The sequence below is a fragment of the Homo sapiens genome, chromosome 10 (assembly GCF_000001405.40).
Source record: "Homo sapiens chromosome 10, GRCh38.p14 Primary Assembly".
Taxonomy (NCBI): Eukaryota; Metazoa; Chordata; class Mammalia; order Primates; family Hominidae; genus Homo; species Homo sapiens.
In genome coordinates this window covers 132,765,226-132,781,963 of record NC_000010.11, presented here as the reverse complement: position 1 = coordinate 132,781,963, position 16,738 = coordinate 132,765,226, and the positions used below count along the sequence as shown (strand labels likewise).

The 16,738-nt window shown below is 58.9% G+C and overlaps 1 protein-coding gene across 3 annotated transcripts in view; it reads right to left on the bottom strand.

Moving 5' to 3' along the window:
- Positions 1-16,738, bottom strand: part of INPP5A (inositol polyphosphate-5-phosphatase A) — a 245,694-nt gene that overhangs the window by 1,517 nt on the left and 227,439 nt on the right. For all 3 annotated transcript variants that reach the window (NM_005539.5, XM_017016204.2, NM_001321042.2), the window contains 4 exons: positions 16,118-16,191; positions 4,182-4,293; positions 1,047-1,115; positions 16-103 (listed from right to left, as the gene is read on the bottom strand). In NM_005539.5, the coding sequence (NP_005530.3) occupies positions 23-103; positions 1,047-1,115; positions 4,182-4,293; positions 16,118-16,191 (336 nt within the window). In that variant the 3' untranslated portion in view covers positions 16-22. The remainder of the gene's footprint in view (positions 1-15; positions 104-1,046; positions 1,116-4,181; positions 4,294-16,117; positions 16,192-16,738) is intronic.

Below are 16,738 nucleotides of genomic sequence, written 5' to 3'. Positions count from 1 at the left end.
AGGAGTCATATTTACCACCACGTCACTGCACGACACAACACTTGTGCACATGGGCATGAGGTTTACCTGCCCCGGGCATGATTCGGAAGGCCAGGAACACGGGCTGCAGCAGGAAGAGAGGACGGTGTCAGCACGGCGCACGCGGGACAGCACAGCACATGCCGCCGCCTCCCGTTGCACCCCCAGACCCTGCGTCTCACCAGGGCAGCCATGAACCGGGCTGGGAGGAGCTGATGGCCAGCAGAGGCAGCTCGGCCCTTGTGCACAGCCACGGCAGCGCAGGGGTTGGGGGCCCCGTGAATGTGGAACTGGAGCCAGGCCGGCCATGAGAGGTTTTGCAAGGAAGGTGTTATTTCCAGGTAAAAAAATTAATGGAAAAACTGATGTAAAAGAATGGCTAAATAGGCCCCAAATGAAGCGGGGAAGGAAGGCTCTCCCGTCCTCGGCTCTGCCGCACCTGGCAGGTCCAGCGTCTTATCCGGGTGTGTTTGGGGCTCACAGCTCTGGGCCTCCAACGTGGAAGAAGCTAACTCATTTATTGGCTGAAAATGAGATTTGATCTGTCTCCTGTGCACACTCTCGAGGTGCAGTTGCCTGAATAAACGATCTGTGCCAGTGCTGCCCCTTGGCACACGGTGGGGAGCGCCCTCACCCCGGCTCCTCGGCTGACAGTGAGCCTGCCCCAAGAAGGCCATTAAAACACTGAAGCTGCATATTTGCAAAACAGCCTTCAGAAACAATCAGCTGTGGACATTTTTTTACAAATATTAAATTATGTATTTTATTCTATTGTAACGTCATTTCTGCCTTCTTCCTACTTACCCACCTAGCTTATGATATTTTATTAAAATTAAATAAAAACAGACCAACTTGGCCTACTCTGTAGTCAGACTAAGAAGACAGGAGAACAGGAGAGGAGAGACTGGCCAACCCCCGCCCACCTGCCTGCCAGCCCCAGCACCCGCCCACCCACTGGCCCCAGCCCCCCGGCCCCCTAGCTTCCCCTTGGTCCCCCAGCCTGGCCCCTGGACCTCAGTCTATGTCACCTTGTGGTCTCCCATGCAGACGTTGGGCCCAATGTGGTCATAGGTGACAACCTTCTCCTCGCTCTCCGACTGGAAAGGGGAAACAGACAGGTGAGTGTGGGGAGGTGGGGCACCCTGGGTCCAGTTGGGAGCTGACTGGCAGGAACATCAGGGTTTTGTGGGGGCAGAGAGATGGGGATGTCGGCCCCTGCCAGTACCTCCCCAGCCTCTGCCACCCGCCCTGCCTGGCCCCTGAGAGAGAGGCCAGCTCATGGACCAAAGGCTCTGGTGATGTGGCAGCGCCTCAGCACCTTGACCCTGGCCCTTTTGGACAACAGGTATCTGCCTCTAGGAGGGGTCGCGTGGGGAGCCGCGGGTGCTGGCCCGGCTCCCAAGCTCCCCTCTCCCGGACATGCTCCTGGGCTCTCAGGGGAGTTGCAGGGGACCCTGTTCACAGGAGTGTGTGCGCCCCAGCTTTCTGTGCAGGTGTGCTCCTCTGAGTGCGGCAGCCCATCTAGTTCCAATCTTCCCACTTTGATTTGTTTTTGACTGTTCTATTAACCTAGAACTCAGTGTTCAAACGAGAACAGACACCGAATTCCACACCACTACACAAAGCAATCTGTGCACAGTAATTCACGGCTGTGTGCGCACTTCCCAGCAGGTGCCTGTATTCCGGGCGCCTCCGGAAGGGGTTTGCTGCTGGTCAGCACTCGGCTCTGGTTGGGCTGGAATTTTATATCCACAGCTGGAGCATCTGAGACTATCCAGGTAAAACTGAGTTATCTTTAATGCAGTGGGAAGCTCAAGGTCAGATTTACTTTCCAGCATGGGCGCCTGCCAGAAAGAATGAGAAAACAAGCTTCGGCACCGCATGCATGAGCACCTTCCCGCCTCTCGCGGGTGAAGCGGCGCCTCCGCAGAAGTGGAGAAACATTCATCAAACGCAGCGTGGTAATTTACAAAGGCAGCATAAAATTGTGGATTTTCAACTGCATAATCTTTGGACAGATAAACAAATTACGGCGGGCACAGGCAGCGTGCGGCACACCTCACTGAACACTTGTCACCGAGGCTCCCCAAGCAGCACCGCCCGCGTCCCGAGCCCCTTTTGGTGTTTTAGGGCTCCGGAGGCAGAACGGAGCTTGGTGACGAGGTGACGGCGCGTGTCATGATGGATGAGGCTGCGGAGCGCGCCCGGCGCCCGTCTGCTTGTCCTGCACACCCGCTGCCCACTGGGTGGCCCCATGGGGAGAGCCTGTCCAAACTCCAGCCCCAGAAGGCAGGGGCTGTCAAAGGCCGCCAGGTGTGTGTTGTGAGGCTCTGTCCCCCACCCTGAGCATAAAGTGTCAAGTCCCGGATCCAGAGAACCCGAGAGGCTGTGAGTGAATGGAAAACGGGCTGCAACGCTGCCCTGCTCTGAGCTGGTGGAGCCCTGGCAGCGGCAGCACAATGTGGGGAGGCCACAGCCCTGCCAGCCTTCTGCCCTTGGGCGCTGCTCACCAATCTGCACTCGCGTGACCTCCGACGTTTTCCCAGGGGATGGCATCTGTGCCCGAGTCCCCGGGAGGCTCCTGCCCCGCTGGTGGCAGCCCTGGGCTCCACATGCCTGACCCGCTCTCAGCACTGGCAGATGGGAGCACCCACCATGTGGCACCGAGGGACTGGCGTGCCTACCAGTGAGCCCAGCCAGAGGGGCAGTGGCAGGTCCACAGCCAGGCTCCAGGCCGAGCCCACTCCTGGGCTTTTGGGCTTGTGGCCAGCACACTTTCCTCAATGATGGGCACAGGCCCTGCCCACAGGCCAGAGGTGGGGCTGCGGAGGAGCCAGGCTGGCTGCAGACCCCAGGGACTTCTGGCCAAGGGGCCCCGCCTCCAGCCCAGGCCCCCACCAGGCAGGCTCCTCACAGCACAGCCAGGGACGGAGGGCAGGCTGCACCCAGGGTGCTCCAGGATGTAGGAAGGAACAGTAAGGAACCCGGCCCGGCAGACAGAGCCACATGGCAGAGGCCAGCAGGGTGCATCTCAGGGACCAGGGCTGCAGAGGTCCCCGCCCTGCTGAGGGCACACCTGTACCCAGGTGTTTGCTGTGCCTGGGGTCTGGTGCCGTCTGGCACAGACACAGATGGGCAGTGAGGGACAACTGGAGCCTCACACAGCTGGTGTTGAAGTCGGGGTTAGTAGGGGGCTCCTGTCCCTGCTCTGGGCCTGGGACAGTGGAGAGGGGGCAGAGCCCACCAGGCTGGCAGTGGAACCACCAGAGTCTCCAGCCTCCTTCCGATTGCACACCCACGTTATGTTCAGAGGCCCCGGCTCTGGGTGTTGGGCACAGCTGCAGTTCCCACGCACACCCGCAAGCTTTCATTACTATCTGCATTTAATTTTCATTCACGGGGTTGACAAAACCAATTCAGATATTGATTCTTCTGAAAACACTCCTTGTATGTTAAAATGTGGGAATTGAAAAATCACAGGATTGACCGGGTGCAGTGGCTCCTGCCTGTAGTCTGGGTACTTTGGGAGGCCGAGGTGGGTGGAATGCTGGAGCCCAGGAATTTGAGACCAGCCTGGCCAATGTAGCAAGCAAGCCCCTATCACCTCTTTTGTAAAAAAAAAAAAAAAAAAAAAAAAAAAAAATTATTATTAAAAAAAAAAAATCACAGGAAATCTGAAAATTTCCCAAGGCCCAGGCCATCTGAAAATGTCGCCTATTTATTTTTAACTTATCGAGGCTCAAATGAATCTGGCTCTAATTTACAACTTAGGAAAACAACCTCAGACATTTCTACTGCGCTTCACGGCCCAGCCCATGAGCGCTGGAACGCACAAGAGCACGTTGACTTCCAAGGATACAATGAACCACGATTTGAAAACACTTCCTGCTAACCGCCTGTGTTATGTTTCAAACTCAGGATGACGCTGGCTGCCCATGGCCCAGGAACTCGGCTCCATCTGCTGCTGCCCCAGCCCAGGTGCTGGCTCAGAGGTGACCCAATGCTGGGGTGCAGCTCATGGCAGCACGAGGTCAGGGCCCAACCTGGCAGCATTCCCCAGACTGGGTGCCCCCACCCCTGGGGCCCTGTCACCAGGGCTGGGCCAGACCAGACCCAGCGCTCCACATCCCTCTGTGCCCAGGGCTGGGGCAGCACACACTCACCCGCAGCACCAGCTCCTTGGCAGACGGGGACATGAGGATGCGGTCACACCAGGCTGGGCACCGGGTGTTCATGTACTGCTCACCCTGGCGGGCGTCCTCACTGTACGGGTAGCTGGGGAGACATGAAGGCAGAGGGTCAGCCGGCCGGCTCGGGCCGTCCTCAGCCCCAAAGGGACGGCTGTGCCGATTCTCTCCCAATACACCTTAGAATGGCCAGCACTACCTGGGGAATGAATACACACATGGAAGTTTCTAGAATATAAAACCAAATTCACAATTTAAGTTCTATATCAAACTGTTTTTATGTGAGACTAAATTTTAGCTATAGCACAGTATCTTCACATCAGTCCTTCCTTTACTGCATGAAATTGTCTGTTGAGCTTTGGTTTTTGTTGGTTTTTTGAACATGGTCTAAAGTATGATGAAAACCTCCATGGAAACAAAATGGCAGCCAGTGTCATCTGGTCCCAGGACGTTCCTCCACCTGGTGACCTGGCCCGGATCAGCTCGAAACGCCTGTAAGTGCAGGCAGCTCTGGGGTGTGGCACACGTGGTCTCCGCTTTGACCAACGCCGCTCCCACCTCGGGGAGCATCCAGGTGCTCAGGCTGTGGCCCCGGGTCACTGCTGCAGTGGAGGGTGACTGTCCCCGACTCACTGCTTCCTGGGCCTGCCCACGCCCTCTGCGGGTCTGGGAATGGGGCTGGCCACATGGCGGTGCCAGTAGCCCTGAGGGCGGAGCCCTTCACCCACACAGTGAGCGCATCCCACACTGCCTGGGGTCTGCTGGTTGCGTCTCCACCACCCACCGCCGGCCAGGGCACAGCTCATCTGGGCTCCTCCGCGGCCTTGCTGTGTCTCTGAGCCATTGGCCCCCGCCCTCACACAGCAGAGCAGTCCACGCACACACGGACTGATCACTCCCCCACCAGCCTGGAGCCTCATGGCCATGGCCCCCACTACCCGCCGAGTCTGGAACACGCAAGCACAGCCCCCACTTCCGGGCCTGCAGGTTCTCAGGGGGCCCGACCCACCCATCAGGCTGCAAACCCACCCCCAAATGGGCATGTTGCTTGGGACTGCACTGAAGTGGTAACGAATTCCACTTGGAGTGAACGAACCCCGGGGGTCCTGTGGCTGAGCTCAGCCACCTGCCCCTAAGTGCAGCGTCTCTGCTTACTCTCAACATCTCTGGGGCCTTCACCAGAGTCTCAAGAGTTTTTTCAGTTAATTCCAAAATATCATACAGCACCTGTCGCGACTGGGATCTGATTCTCTGTGAAATTTCCCTGTTGGCTGTGATTGGGTTTCGGGTCCATCCCGGCACCTCAGCTGCGGATTCTGCAGCCCCTCCCATGCCCCCCGGACCCTGCCCACAGGGGCGCCTGTGGGCCCTGTGCCCAACCACCTGGAAACAGCCGGGGACTGGGAACTTGCTCTGCCCTGACGCAGGAGCTCCCATCCTCCGCGCGCTCCAGCGGGAGCCACACTCACAGGAGCCACGGCTGCCACCCGGCCTTGGGCAGTCACTGCTTGGTTAAAAACGTAGCTACGCAGGGCCTGCGTGTCATGCATGTCTCTGAAGAGCACAGAGCAGAGAACAGCTGCACATGCTTTCAGGAGAGCCAGCAACCTGGTGGCCTGCCCCATTTCACATGTTTGAGAGGCTGGGCCACTTTGTTCAGGAGCTTCTCAGCTGATCCCAACCGCGGACACGAGTGGAAACTGGATGCAGGCAGGGGCCTGCCCAGCCCCTGACACACGTCCACTGCCCCTGGACACATGTCCATTGCATCCGCACACACGTCCACTGCCCCCCGGACACACATGCACACAGCACACAATAGGTGACTTCTAAATAGGAAGCTGGAACCGAACCAGTTCTCCCTCCTCATGCACCCCATGGAGCTTGGAGAGCCCGTGCCACCTGGCGTCCCCTGGGGGCACGGAGAGAAGCCAGGGCGTGGCAGGAAGCACAGCCGCCCTCTGTCCATGGGACAGGGTCTGATGGGCATTGCTGCTCAGACAGACTGGGCTCTGGGGATGAGCAAGAGAGAACAGGGATGCCAGAGTGGCAGCGGCTTCCTCAGCCCATCTGCTCCAGGAAGGGCTTCCCTGGGAGTGTTCACAGACGACTCAACAGGAGGAAGAAGCCTGGGTGAGAGAGGTGTCCTGGCCAGGCTGTTGGGGGCAACACCCTTAATCCACAGCCAGGGGTGCTCCCTGTGGCCCCCAACACCCAGGGAGAAATGCAGGAGGGGCTGGTTCCAGCTGGGTCTGGGGAAGGCCAGTGTGGACTGCACACAACCGCTGTACCCACAGGTGGGAGGTGCTGGCGGGGCCACGCTGCAGAGCAGCAGGACGCGGGGCCTGGACGCTGCCCAGCAGTGACTGACGTGGGAGTGCCAGGCATGTGGGCTTATCTGAAAGCATACCTGCTGGGTGGGGGGGGAGGCACACAGGACAGGGGCGCACCTGCGCCTACAGCGTGGGAGCGGCTGTGATAGGGCGAACAATCGTACTCCTGTGCTAGCCTCTGCAGGCACTGCCCCTCCCCCTGCCCCTCCCCCTGCCCCCTCTCCTCCCTGCCCCTCCCTCTCTCCCTGCCCCTCCTCTCTGCCCCTCTCTCCTCCCTGCCCCTCTCTCCTCCCTGCCCCTCCTCCCTGCCCCTCCTCCCTGCCTGTCTCTCCTCCCTGCCCCTCCCCCCTGCCCCTCTCTCCTCCGTCCCTCCTCCCTGCCCCCCCTCCTCCCTGCCCCTCCTCCCTGCCCCTCCTCTCTGCCCCTCTCTCCTCCCTGCCCCTCCTCCCTGTCCCTCTCTCCTCCCTGCCCCTCCTCCCTGCCCGTCTCTCCCTACCCCTCTCTCCTCCGTGCCCCTCTCTCCTCCCTGCCCCTCCTCCCTGCCTCTCCTCCCTGCCCCTCCTCCCTGCCCGTCTCTCCCTACCCCTCTCTCCTCCGTGCCCCTCTCTCCTCCCTGCCCCTCTCTCCTCCCTGTAGGATGCGGGCAGCAGCCCCTGTGTAGGCTGCACGGCAGATTGTTTGCTGTGGCCAGGCTGACTGGCCCTGCTGACAAGGCCCAGCTTTAGAACCTGAGCAGGCTGGGCTGGGTAGGTAGGGTCGCCACGGGCCCGAGAAGCAGACAACAAGCTTAAAAGCCCGGCTATGTCGAGGTCTTGGGGCAGGGCTGACGGCACAGGAGAGACCAACGGGCCTGGGAGGACCCCAGAAGGCAGGCTGGGTGGGGGCCCACGGCTTCGCCACAGTGCTCAGCCGCCCTGAACCACAAGTGAACGGCGACAGTTCACGCCAACTCCCCGAGCTGTGCTCAGAGGAAGCGGCAGGAGCGCAGCCTCACTTCTCCAGGTGGGCGTCAGGGTGAAAGCCCCTCCTCTGACTCCCGCCTGGTTAAAATATTAACCAATTACCACGCCGCTCTTGTGTACACGGAGCAGGAGGGTGCAGCACACTACAGAGAAAACGGTTCTGACACACCCCCGTCACAAGCAGGACCTCATCAAAGCTCTGCCTTCCCGTGCAGCCTGCAGGCACCACTGGCAATGCTGGCTTCAGACACCCGCTTCCAAACACACCAGCTGCCACTGGAATTCCTGAAAAGGAGAAGGCCCTAAAACCAAAGAGAAAGAACTAAACGATTACAGCTGTGGCAATGCTGAAGCTACCGAGCGGGAGAAGGAAGCGGCACAGACTTCCAAGAGGGTCTGGGGGGCTGGGCATGGGGGCTCACGCCTGTCATCCCAGCATTTTGAGAAGCTGAGGCGGGAGGATCACTTGAGCCCAGGAGTTTAAGACCAGCCTGGACAACATAGTAAGACCCCTGTCTCTATACAAAATAAAAAAGTTAGCCAGGTGTGGTGGTGCACACCTGTAGTCCCAGCTACTTGGGAGGCTGAGGGGGGAAAATCGCTTGAGCCCAGAAGATGGGGCTGCAGTGAGGCAAGATCACCACTGCACTCCAGCCCGGGCAACAGAGCAGGAGGCTGTCCTGGGTGCTCCCCTCGCCCGTATCTCGAGGGACAAAAGCTCTCCGGGTGACCAGAACCCTTGGCAGGCCTCTTCTGTGGGACGGGTTCCCTCACTGTCCTCCCCCTCGGCACAGGTCCCACAGTCTGTATGAGCCACAGGCACCCAGGGTTCCTGACCACCAGGCGGACGGGCGGCCTCGCTCCCTCCTGAGCACCCAGCTCGCAGGCAGTAGAGTTCATTTTGCTAGATAATTATTACACTATAAATACACATCTAAAGACAGGAGAACATAAATTATGGCCCACGGAAAGTTTGAAAGGGGCCTCCTAATCCCTAATTTAAAAATATATGTGTCCATTAAAGAGAGACGACCTCTGGTTGGACTTGTCTGCGCAGTTCATTCCTGTGTTGCGTATATTTTTGTGTTTTTCAGAAGCTAAAACTCGATCTTGCTCAGTAATTGTTCAATGAAAACATCCCTCTCCCACCTCTGAGAGTCAGTCTTTCTTTGGGAAGGAGTGATTTTTTCCCACTGGACCTGCTCTGCGTATGATAAAAACTTTGAAACGTTTTGACGGGTAGCAATAGAACTTCTAAACTTTTCCATTTATTTTAGTAAATTTCACTTCACAGTGAGGCACACACAAGGCTGAGTGCACACGGGACATGGGTGTTCACCAGCCCACCGCACCCTGCGCCGGCCCACAGCCCAGAGGCCTCCACCGGGGAGGGCGGTGGGAGGTGATTCCCCGCCTGCAGTAACAGCACCCTGTGGAGTCCCAGGGCGTCCTCTCCACCTGTGCAACCCGGCTTTAAACTCACTTGTGGAGCTGTGCGCAGCGGCGGCTCGCTGCAGGTGGCTGCCGTGGCCTCCGTGTCAGTGCTGAGTGTCCGTCCCACTCTTCGTGGGGCGGCTGCCGTGGCCTCCGTGTCAGTGCTGAGTGTCCGTCCCACTCTTCGTGGGGCGGCTGCCGTGGCCTCCGTGTCAGTGCTGAGTGTCCGTCCCACTCTTCGTGGGGCGGCTGCCGTGGCCTCCGTGTCAGTGCTGAGTGTCCGTCCCACTCTTCGTGGGGCGGCTGCCGTGGCCTCCGTGTCAGTGCTGAGTGTCCGTCCCACTCTTCGTGGGGCGGCTGCCGTGGCCTCTGTGTCAGTGCTGAGTGTCCGTCCCACTCTTCGTGGGGTGGCTGCCGTGGCCTCTGTGTCAGTGCTGAGTGTCTGTCCCACTCCTCGTGGGGTGGCTGCCGTGGCCTCTGTGTCAGTGCTGAGTGTCCGTCCCACTCTTCATCGGGTGGCTGCTGTGGCCTCTGTGTCAGTGCTGAGTGTCTGTCCCACTCTTCATGGGGTGGCTGCCGTGGCCTCTGTGTCAGTGCTGAGTGTCTGTCCCACTCCTCGTGGGGTGGCTGCCGTGGCCTCCGTGTCAGTGCTGAGTGTCCGTCCCACTCTTCATGGGGTGGCTGCTGTGGCCTCTGTGTCAGTGCTGAGTGTCTGTCCCACTCCTCGTGGGGTGGCTGCCGTGGCCTCTGTGTCAGTGCTGAGTGTCCGTCCCACTCTTCATCGGGTGGCTGCTGTGGCCTCTGTGTCAGTGCTGAGTGTCCGTCCCACTCTTCATCGGGTGGCTGCTGTGGCCTCTGTGTCAGTGCTGAGTGTCTGTCCCACTCCTCGTGGGGTGGCTGCCGTGGCCTCTGTGTCAGTGCTGAGTGTCCGTCCCACTCTTCATCGGGTGGCTGCTGTGGCCTCTGTGTCAGTGCTGAGTGTCCGTCCCACTCTTCATCGGGTGGCTGCTGTGGCCTCTGTGTCAGTGCTGAGTGTCTGTCCCACTCCTCGTGGGGTGGCTGCCGTGGCCTCTGTGTCAGTGCTGAGTGTCCGTCCCACTCTTCATCGGGTGGCTGCTGTGGCCTCTGTGTCAGTGCTGAGTGTCTGTCCCACTCTTCGCGGGGTGGCTGCTGTGGCCTCCGTGTCAGTGCTGAGTGCCCCACTCTTCACGGGGCGGCTGCCTGGGCCTCCGTGTCAGTGCTGAGTGTCCGTCCCACTCTTCATGGGGTGGCTGCTGTGGCCTCTGTGTCAGTGCTGAGTGTCTGTCCCACTCTTCATGGGGTGGCTGCCGTGGCCTCTGTGTCAGTGCTGAGTGTCTGTCCCACTCTTCGCGGGGCGGCTGCCGGGGCCTCCGTGTCAGTGCTGAGTGTCCGTCCCACTCTTCATGGGCACTGGGGATACTTCCAAGTTTTGGGCAGTTCTGGAGTTGGCGTGTGGCCCCCTGTGGGTCCCTGGGACCCCTGCGGCAGTCTGAGAGGGGAGATCTACATTGACGAGCACACTAAGGTGATATTCACTGATTTCATGGAGCTGGCATTGCACGGATGTGGCAAAAGCTGCCCAAGGTGGTAAAACTGCCGGCGCCGGCGTGGGAACCAGGCAGAGGCCGGGCCGTGCTGGGCAGGGTCTCTCCCAGGGTCAATCCCTCAGCACTAAACAAAAAGCTACCTTCACTTACGAGGGAAGCAGGAGAAATGATTCCTTGTGTTGAACCCCAGGCCTGGGAGATGGGGTCTTGGGCTGGGTGGGATGAGATGAGGCCTCCAGGGAGTCCTCTGCCCAGAGGGATGACATGGCCCTCATCTCTCAGGGGAGCGTGCCTGCATCTGAGTCGTCAGCTAAAGCAGCTGCTCGTTTTCACGGACACCATATTTTGCCAGAAAGATTGACAGACAGACTGTGGTAACTTAGACCTCGGTGGCTAACAGGCATTTTCTCCAGAAGGGCGGACGAGCCTGCCTCTTCCAGCAGCAGCGGATGCTATTTGTTGCCAATGACAAAATTTAAGCTTTCAAGGAGACCCGAGGGTGTTGGAAAACGTATTCCTCCCAGAGGCTGGCGGCGTCCCCACCACAGAGACCCCTCCCTTGAGCTCTGCCATATTCTGAGGAAGGTGCTGCTCGCACTGGGTGCCAGACGTGCCGCGTCGAGACTCCCACACCCTGGGTGGCTGGGATTTCCCGGGACCTGTGTGTGCGGCTCCCAGATCACGCCCTGGCGGAAGGAGACCTCCCCGTGCATGGGTACTTTTTTCACAAAAATGTTACTTATGTAAACATGTAATTGTGTTATTTTTAAAACGGACTAATAAATATTTAAAAACTGATGGCCATGACCAACAGATGGAACCCACATAGACAAAAGCTCCAGGGTCCTCAGTAGCTGGAAGAGGGAAGTGGCCAGGCCACCGGGGCGGCCAGCGAGGCTCTGCGGGGCCATTTCGATGGTGGCATGTGGCTTTCTTCTTAATAAATGAATGATGCAGTCTCTTCACTATGTAAGGAGTCCACAGACACAGGGAGCCCCCAGGCAATGGACGTGACAATTCCCATCCTCCATACGCTCAGCGTCCACACAGACAAAGAGGGAGAGCCAAACCCCGGCTGACTATGCACAGCACCACGGCCTCCGCGAGGAAACGCAGTGCCCCCCACATTCCGGAAGCTGCAACAGGAGCCACCCGATGGCCGGCGACACTGCGGTGACTTGGGAGCGTTCGGCTCTCTGGCTGCGGAGAGGCTGACCTGGGGGTGGGTACCGTCGGGCAGGCCTGGGCCTGAAGGCTCAGCCTGCCCAGAGGAGACGATAGCATCCTGAGGGGGACGCTGAGGCCACGAGGGGTGAGCAATGTGCCCAACTCTGCAGTGTCAGGGCAGAGGTGGGACTCTGGTTCCAGAGGCGCCGCCCTCGCCAGCCCTGTTCTACATGGGGTTTCGTGAGAAATGCTAACGCCTAGAAATGTCGGGCTGTCACACCAGTGGAGCGGCCACCGAGGAGCCATCTTAAATCTCTTTATCTTAGAGTTAATGGCGGTTAATTCTCAAAGTTAAACTAAAAATTAGAAATTCACTTCTAGCTAGGATGCGCAAAAAGGCAGCAGCTCCATGCTACCACTGGGGTGTCCAAATCGCCGCCACCTGAGCCTGGGCTGTACCGGGAGCCACACGTATCAGGAACTTGGGGGGGGGGAGCTACGGGGTGGGGGCTGCAGGGCTGCTGTTGAGGCGCACACCACAATCCTGCCCTGAGGGCCTTGGCGTCTGGGGAGCCGGGCAGACCAATGCTGGGTGAAGAAAGCCCATCGCCGCCTCTGCTCACCACTAAGGGCTGACGCCACCTGACCCCGCATCCACTCATAGCCGCCTGGTTTCCAGAGACCAGAGTGGGCAAGACTCATCCCTGCCACCATGGGTCCCTCATCCCCCAGTAACTCTAAGCACACGTGTAGAGCTTTAACACGTCACACCCGATGGAAATAGCACATGGCATGAAAGGCCTTCGGGAGGCTGTATCCTGGGTGCTGTCCTGGCCTGAAGGCACCATCTTACAGCTCAGGGTCCCGCCCGGGAGAGTTCCTTATGCAGAGGCAGAGGCAGCCCAAGGTCTGGCCAGCCTCCTTCCCGCCTGCTCACTCTCCTGCTCCTGACCGCCTCAAACAGGTCACTTTTGTGGCTGTCCCTAAAGAAGGCGCTAGGAAGAACCGTGCTTTTAGTTAAGGACAAAAATTGAGGGTTGTATAAATGTCTGAAATATTAGCACCTTTTCTGGCAAAATGACAGACAGCATTCAGTTACAATTCATTCAGAGCAGAGTTCTATTCATCCATGGGATCAGTGGCAAACACCTTTGCAGGAGAAGACCCCGCTGGTCTTCAGAACCATCCGCCAATGACACATTTCCTGGCGTCACTCTGCCAGTGTACGCACCAACGCCCCGGGTGCGGCTGTATCCGGAGCTCTGCGCTAGGAATGCTGTCTCCTCTCAGGGTCAGCAGGTGCGGGCTCTCCCCATGGAGGGTCTACTGCCCGCGGGAGGGTCCTGCCCACCAATGCTGATAAGGTGCCTTGAACCACTCCAAGGTGGTGAGCTCACCTCTGCCCAAAACCAGGGCGGGGACTGTGGCAGTGATGGGAAGATGTACTTGGCTGCTCGGCCGGTTTGCAATGCGTTCACTCAAACAACAACAGCAAAAACCATGAAACGATTCTGAAAACCGGGAGTCACCGCAGGAAGGAGACGCTGCCAGACCAGCAGGTACAGATGGCGGCTCGGCTCCCAGCTTCTGAGGAGCTGGGTCAGACACAGGCCTCAGGGGCCAGGCCGTGGCAAGGACGCCTTCCCACGGCCTCAGAGCCCTGGCAGCCTTCAGGAAAGCACAGGAAGGCCAACGTGTCCTGACAGGGGCAGAGCTGCACGGGGAAGAGTGTGAGGCGGCAGGTGGACGAGCCTGGCACGCAGAGGCACTCGGGACCCCCCGCCAGGGCAGACGCAGCGGGAAAGCGGAAGCTGATCTCACCCAGCCAAATGCCGAAGAGGAAGCCAGGCCTGTGTGAGCACCTGGGAACACTGAGGGTCGGGGTCCATGGATCTTTCTGGAATGCCACTGGGCGCGTGAGCACCTGGGAACGCTGAGGGTCGGGGTCCATGGATCTTTCTGGAATGCAACTGGGCGCGTGGGCACCCTGGGAACGCTGAGGGTCGGGGTCCACGGATCTTTCTGGAATGCCACTGGGCGCGTGGGCACCCTGGGAACGCTGAGGGTCGGGGTCCACAGATCTTTCTGGAATGCCACTGGGCACATGGGCACCCTGGGAACGCTGAGGGTCAGGGATCCATGGATCTTTCTGGAATGCCAATGGGCACGTGGGCACCCTGGGAATGCCGAGGGTTGGGGTCCATGGATCTTTCTGGAATGCCATTGGGTGCGTGGGCACCCTGGGAACGCTGAGGGTCAGGGTCCACGGATCTTTCTGAAATGCCACTGGGCACGTGGGCACCCTGGGAACACTGAGGGTCAGGGATCCATGGATCTTTCTGGAATGCCACTGGGCGCGTGGGCACCCTGGGAATGCCGAGGGTTGGGGTCCATGGATCTTTCTGGAATGCCATTGGGTGCGTGGGCACCCTGGGAACGCTGAGGGTTGGGGTCCACGGATCTTTCTGGAATGCCACTGGGCGCGTGGGCACCCTGGGAATGCAGAGGGTCGGGGTCCACGGATCTTTCTGGAATGCCACTGGGCGCATGGGCACCCTGGGAACGCTGAGGGTCGGGGTCCATGGATCTTTCTGGAATGCCACTGGGCGCGAGGGGCTCTCTGGGGGCCCGTGTGTCTAGCAGTCAGACTTCAGATCCAAGCGGGATGGGGGAGCCCTCCAGGAAGAGGGGTGTGAGCCCGAGATCCCCTGAGGCTTCCTGCACCTCCCACAGGATAAGGCTGGCATGCCTGGCAGGGAGCCTCGGTGTCTTTGCAGAACAGGAAGAAGCTCGTGAGGAGGACGAGAGGCCTGGGCCACCACTGCCTTCTGGAGGCTCCTCCAACCTGTCCAAAAACTTCCCCTGGACACCAAAGTGCTCCGTCACTTTCAAGGCTCAGACCTCAGCACTGCCTCTGGCTTCAGGAAAGCCTGTGTCCCCAAGCTGAGGACACATCCTCCAGCTCCCACCCAAGCTCCGAGGCCGCATCCTCCAGCTCCCACCCAAGCTCCCTGAAGCCGCATCCTCCGGCTCCCACCCAAGCTCCCTGAGGCCGCATCCTCCAGCTCCCACCCAAGCTCCGAGGCCGCATCCTCCAGCTCCCACCCAAGCTCCCTGAAGCCGCATCCTCCGGCTCCCACCCAAGCTCCCTGAGGCCGCATCCTCCAGCTCCCACCCAAGCTCCGAGGCCGCATCCTCCAGCTCCCACCCAAGCTCCCTGAGGCCGCATCCTCTGTCTCCCACCCAAGCTCCAAGGCCGCATCCTCCAGCTCCCACCCAAGCTCCGAGGCCGCATCCTCCAGCTCCCACCCAAGCTCCGAGGCCACATCCTCCAACTCCCACCCAAGCTCCCTGAGGCCGCACCTCCGGCTCCCACCCAAGCCCACCCAAGCTCCCTGAGGCCGCATCCTCCAGCTCCCACCCAGGCTCCCTGAGGCCGCACCTCCAGCTCCCAATCTTGCTCCCAGCTGACAGGCAAAGTCCACATCTGCCAGTGGAAGTCCCCTGCGGCTTCCAACAGTGAGAACTGCTCTGTGCTGGCAAATCTGCATAAAAATGCACACAAACATCCACACCCAGGCACACATCTCCACGCGTGAACACACACACATGTGCACACACATCCGTGGAGCACAGCCACATGCATGAGCCCTACACACGTCACACATGTTCTCACTCATGCTCTCACTCATGCTCACATATGCAACCATGTACGCGAGCACACCTTATGCACACACATCCACAACTGTGTGACGCACGCCCCACGCACATCTGCACCAGGTCTGCACACACACGGACACCCACGCAACATCTGCACATTCAAACCCAGGCACACACACGCATGCCTTAAACACATCCACACCCACATAGACACACTGCATTTGGAGGCCCCGATATTGCCAGAAAGATCCATAACACACAGTCCCCGTAGGTCCCTCGTGAGCAAGTCTGATAAGAAAGTATTTTGCATATTGGAAAAAACCTTTTTTGGAAAAAGATAACAGAATTACTTATTACTCTCAGCTGCTTTTTTCATGTCATGAAAAGGGCAGGAGAAGGTGCAGTTTGCACACAAGTGCAGGACACACAGATACATGTGCACACACAAAAACACTATGCACACAAGAACACACACGTGCACACACAGATGCACACGTGCACACACAGATGCACAGGTGCACACACAGATGCACTCGTGCACACACACTCGTGCACATGTGCACACACACAGACGCATACGTTCACACACAGACGCACCTGTGCACACAGATGCACAACACACACGTGTACACACAGGTATGGTACACACACTCTGGATGCACACAGAATGCACACACTCATGCCCAGCACAAACTGGCACACACAGACACGCAGATGCACCAGAGACTGGGAGGGTGGAGACGCCACCTTCCCGGCCGGGTTCATCCAGCAAACAGCATGTTCCATACCTGGGAGGGAACGAGATGTCCAGTTCATACAGTCTGTCCTTAAAGACAGACAACTCCTTGTCAAACTCCAAGAGCTAAAGAAAAGAAAGAGCAGAAAATAAAGTCACATTGGTTTTCCTCGCTGGGGGCACGTGTGTCTGTGTGCAGCTGGGACGCTCAAATGCTCGGTGTGACATCTGCTCTTCCCAGAGCCGCCACATCTGTCACCAGAAAGCTCTGTGGTGCCAGCAGGCTCTGGTGTTCGCCTGCCTCTGCTGCAGACAGTGGGACCTGCCCTGCCCGTTATAGATGTGCTCTGCCCACCCATAAAGCTTTCTCTGTTGGTGACGCCAGAGAAGCACTCATGGCCTCGGGCACTGCCGTGGCAGCCCCAGTAGCAGCCCCTCTCGGCCTCTCCTCCCTAGTGCTGGCTCCCCCAGCAGAGGGAACACAGCTCCTGTCCTGCCCAGAGTGTCAAGTAACCTGCAGAGTGAGCAATGTCAGCTTTGTGAGAACAGGTCAGGGAAAATGGCCCCAAGGTGCACACTGGTGAGATTCTGGCAGCAGTTCGGGGGCAAAATGTTCATTCTCACATGCACGGGAGGCAGCAAATGGCCTTGCCCCCTGAGACTCTTCCAAAAC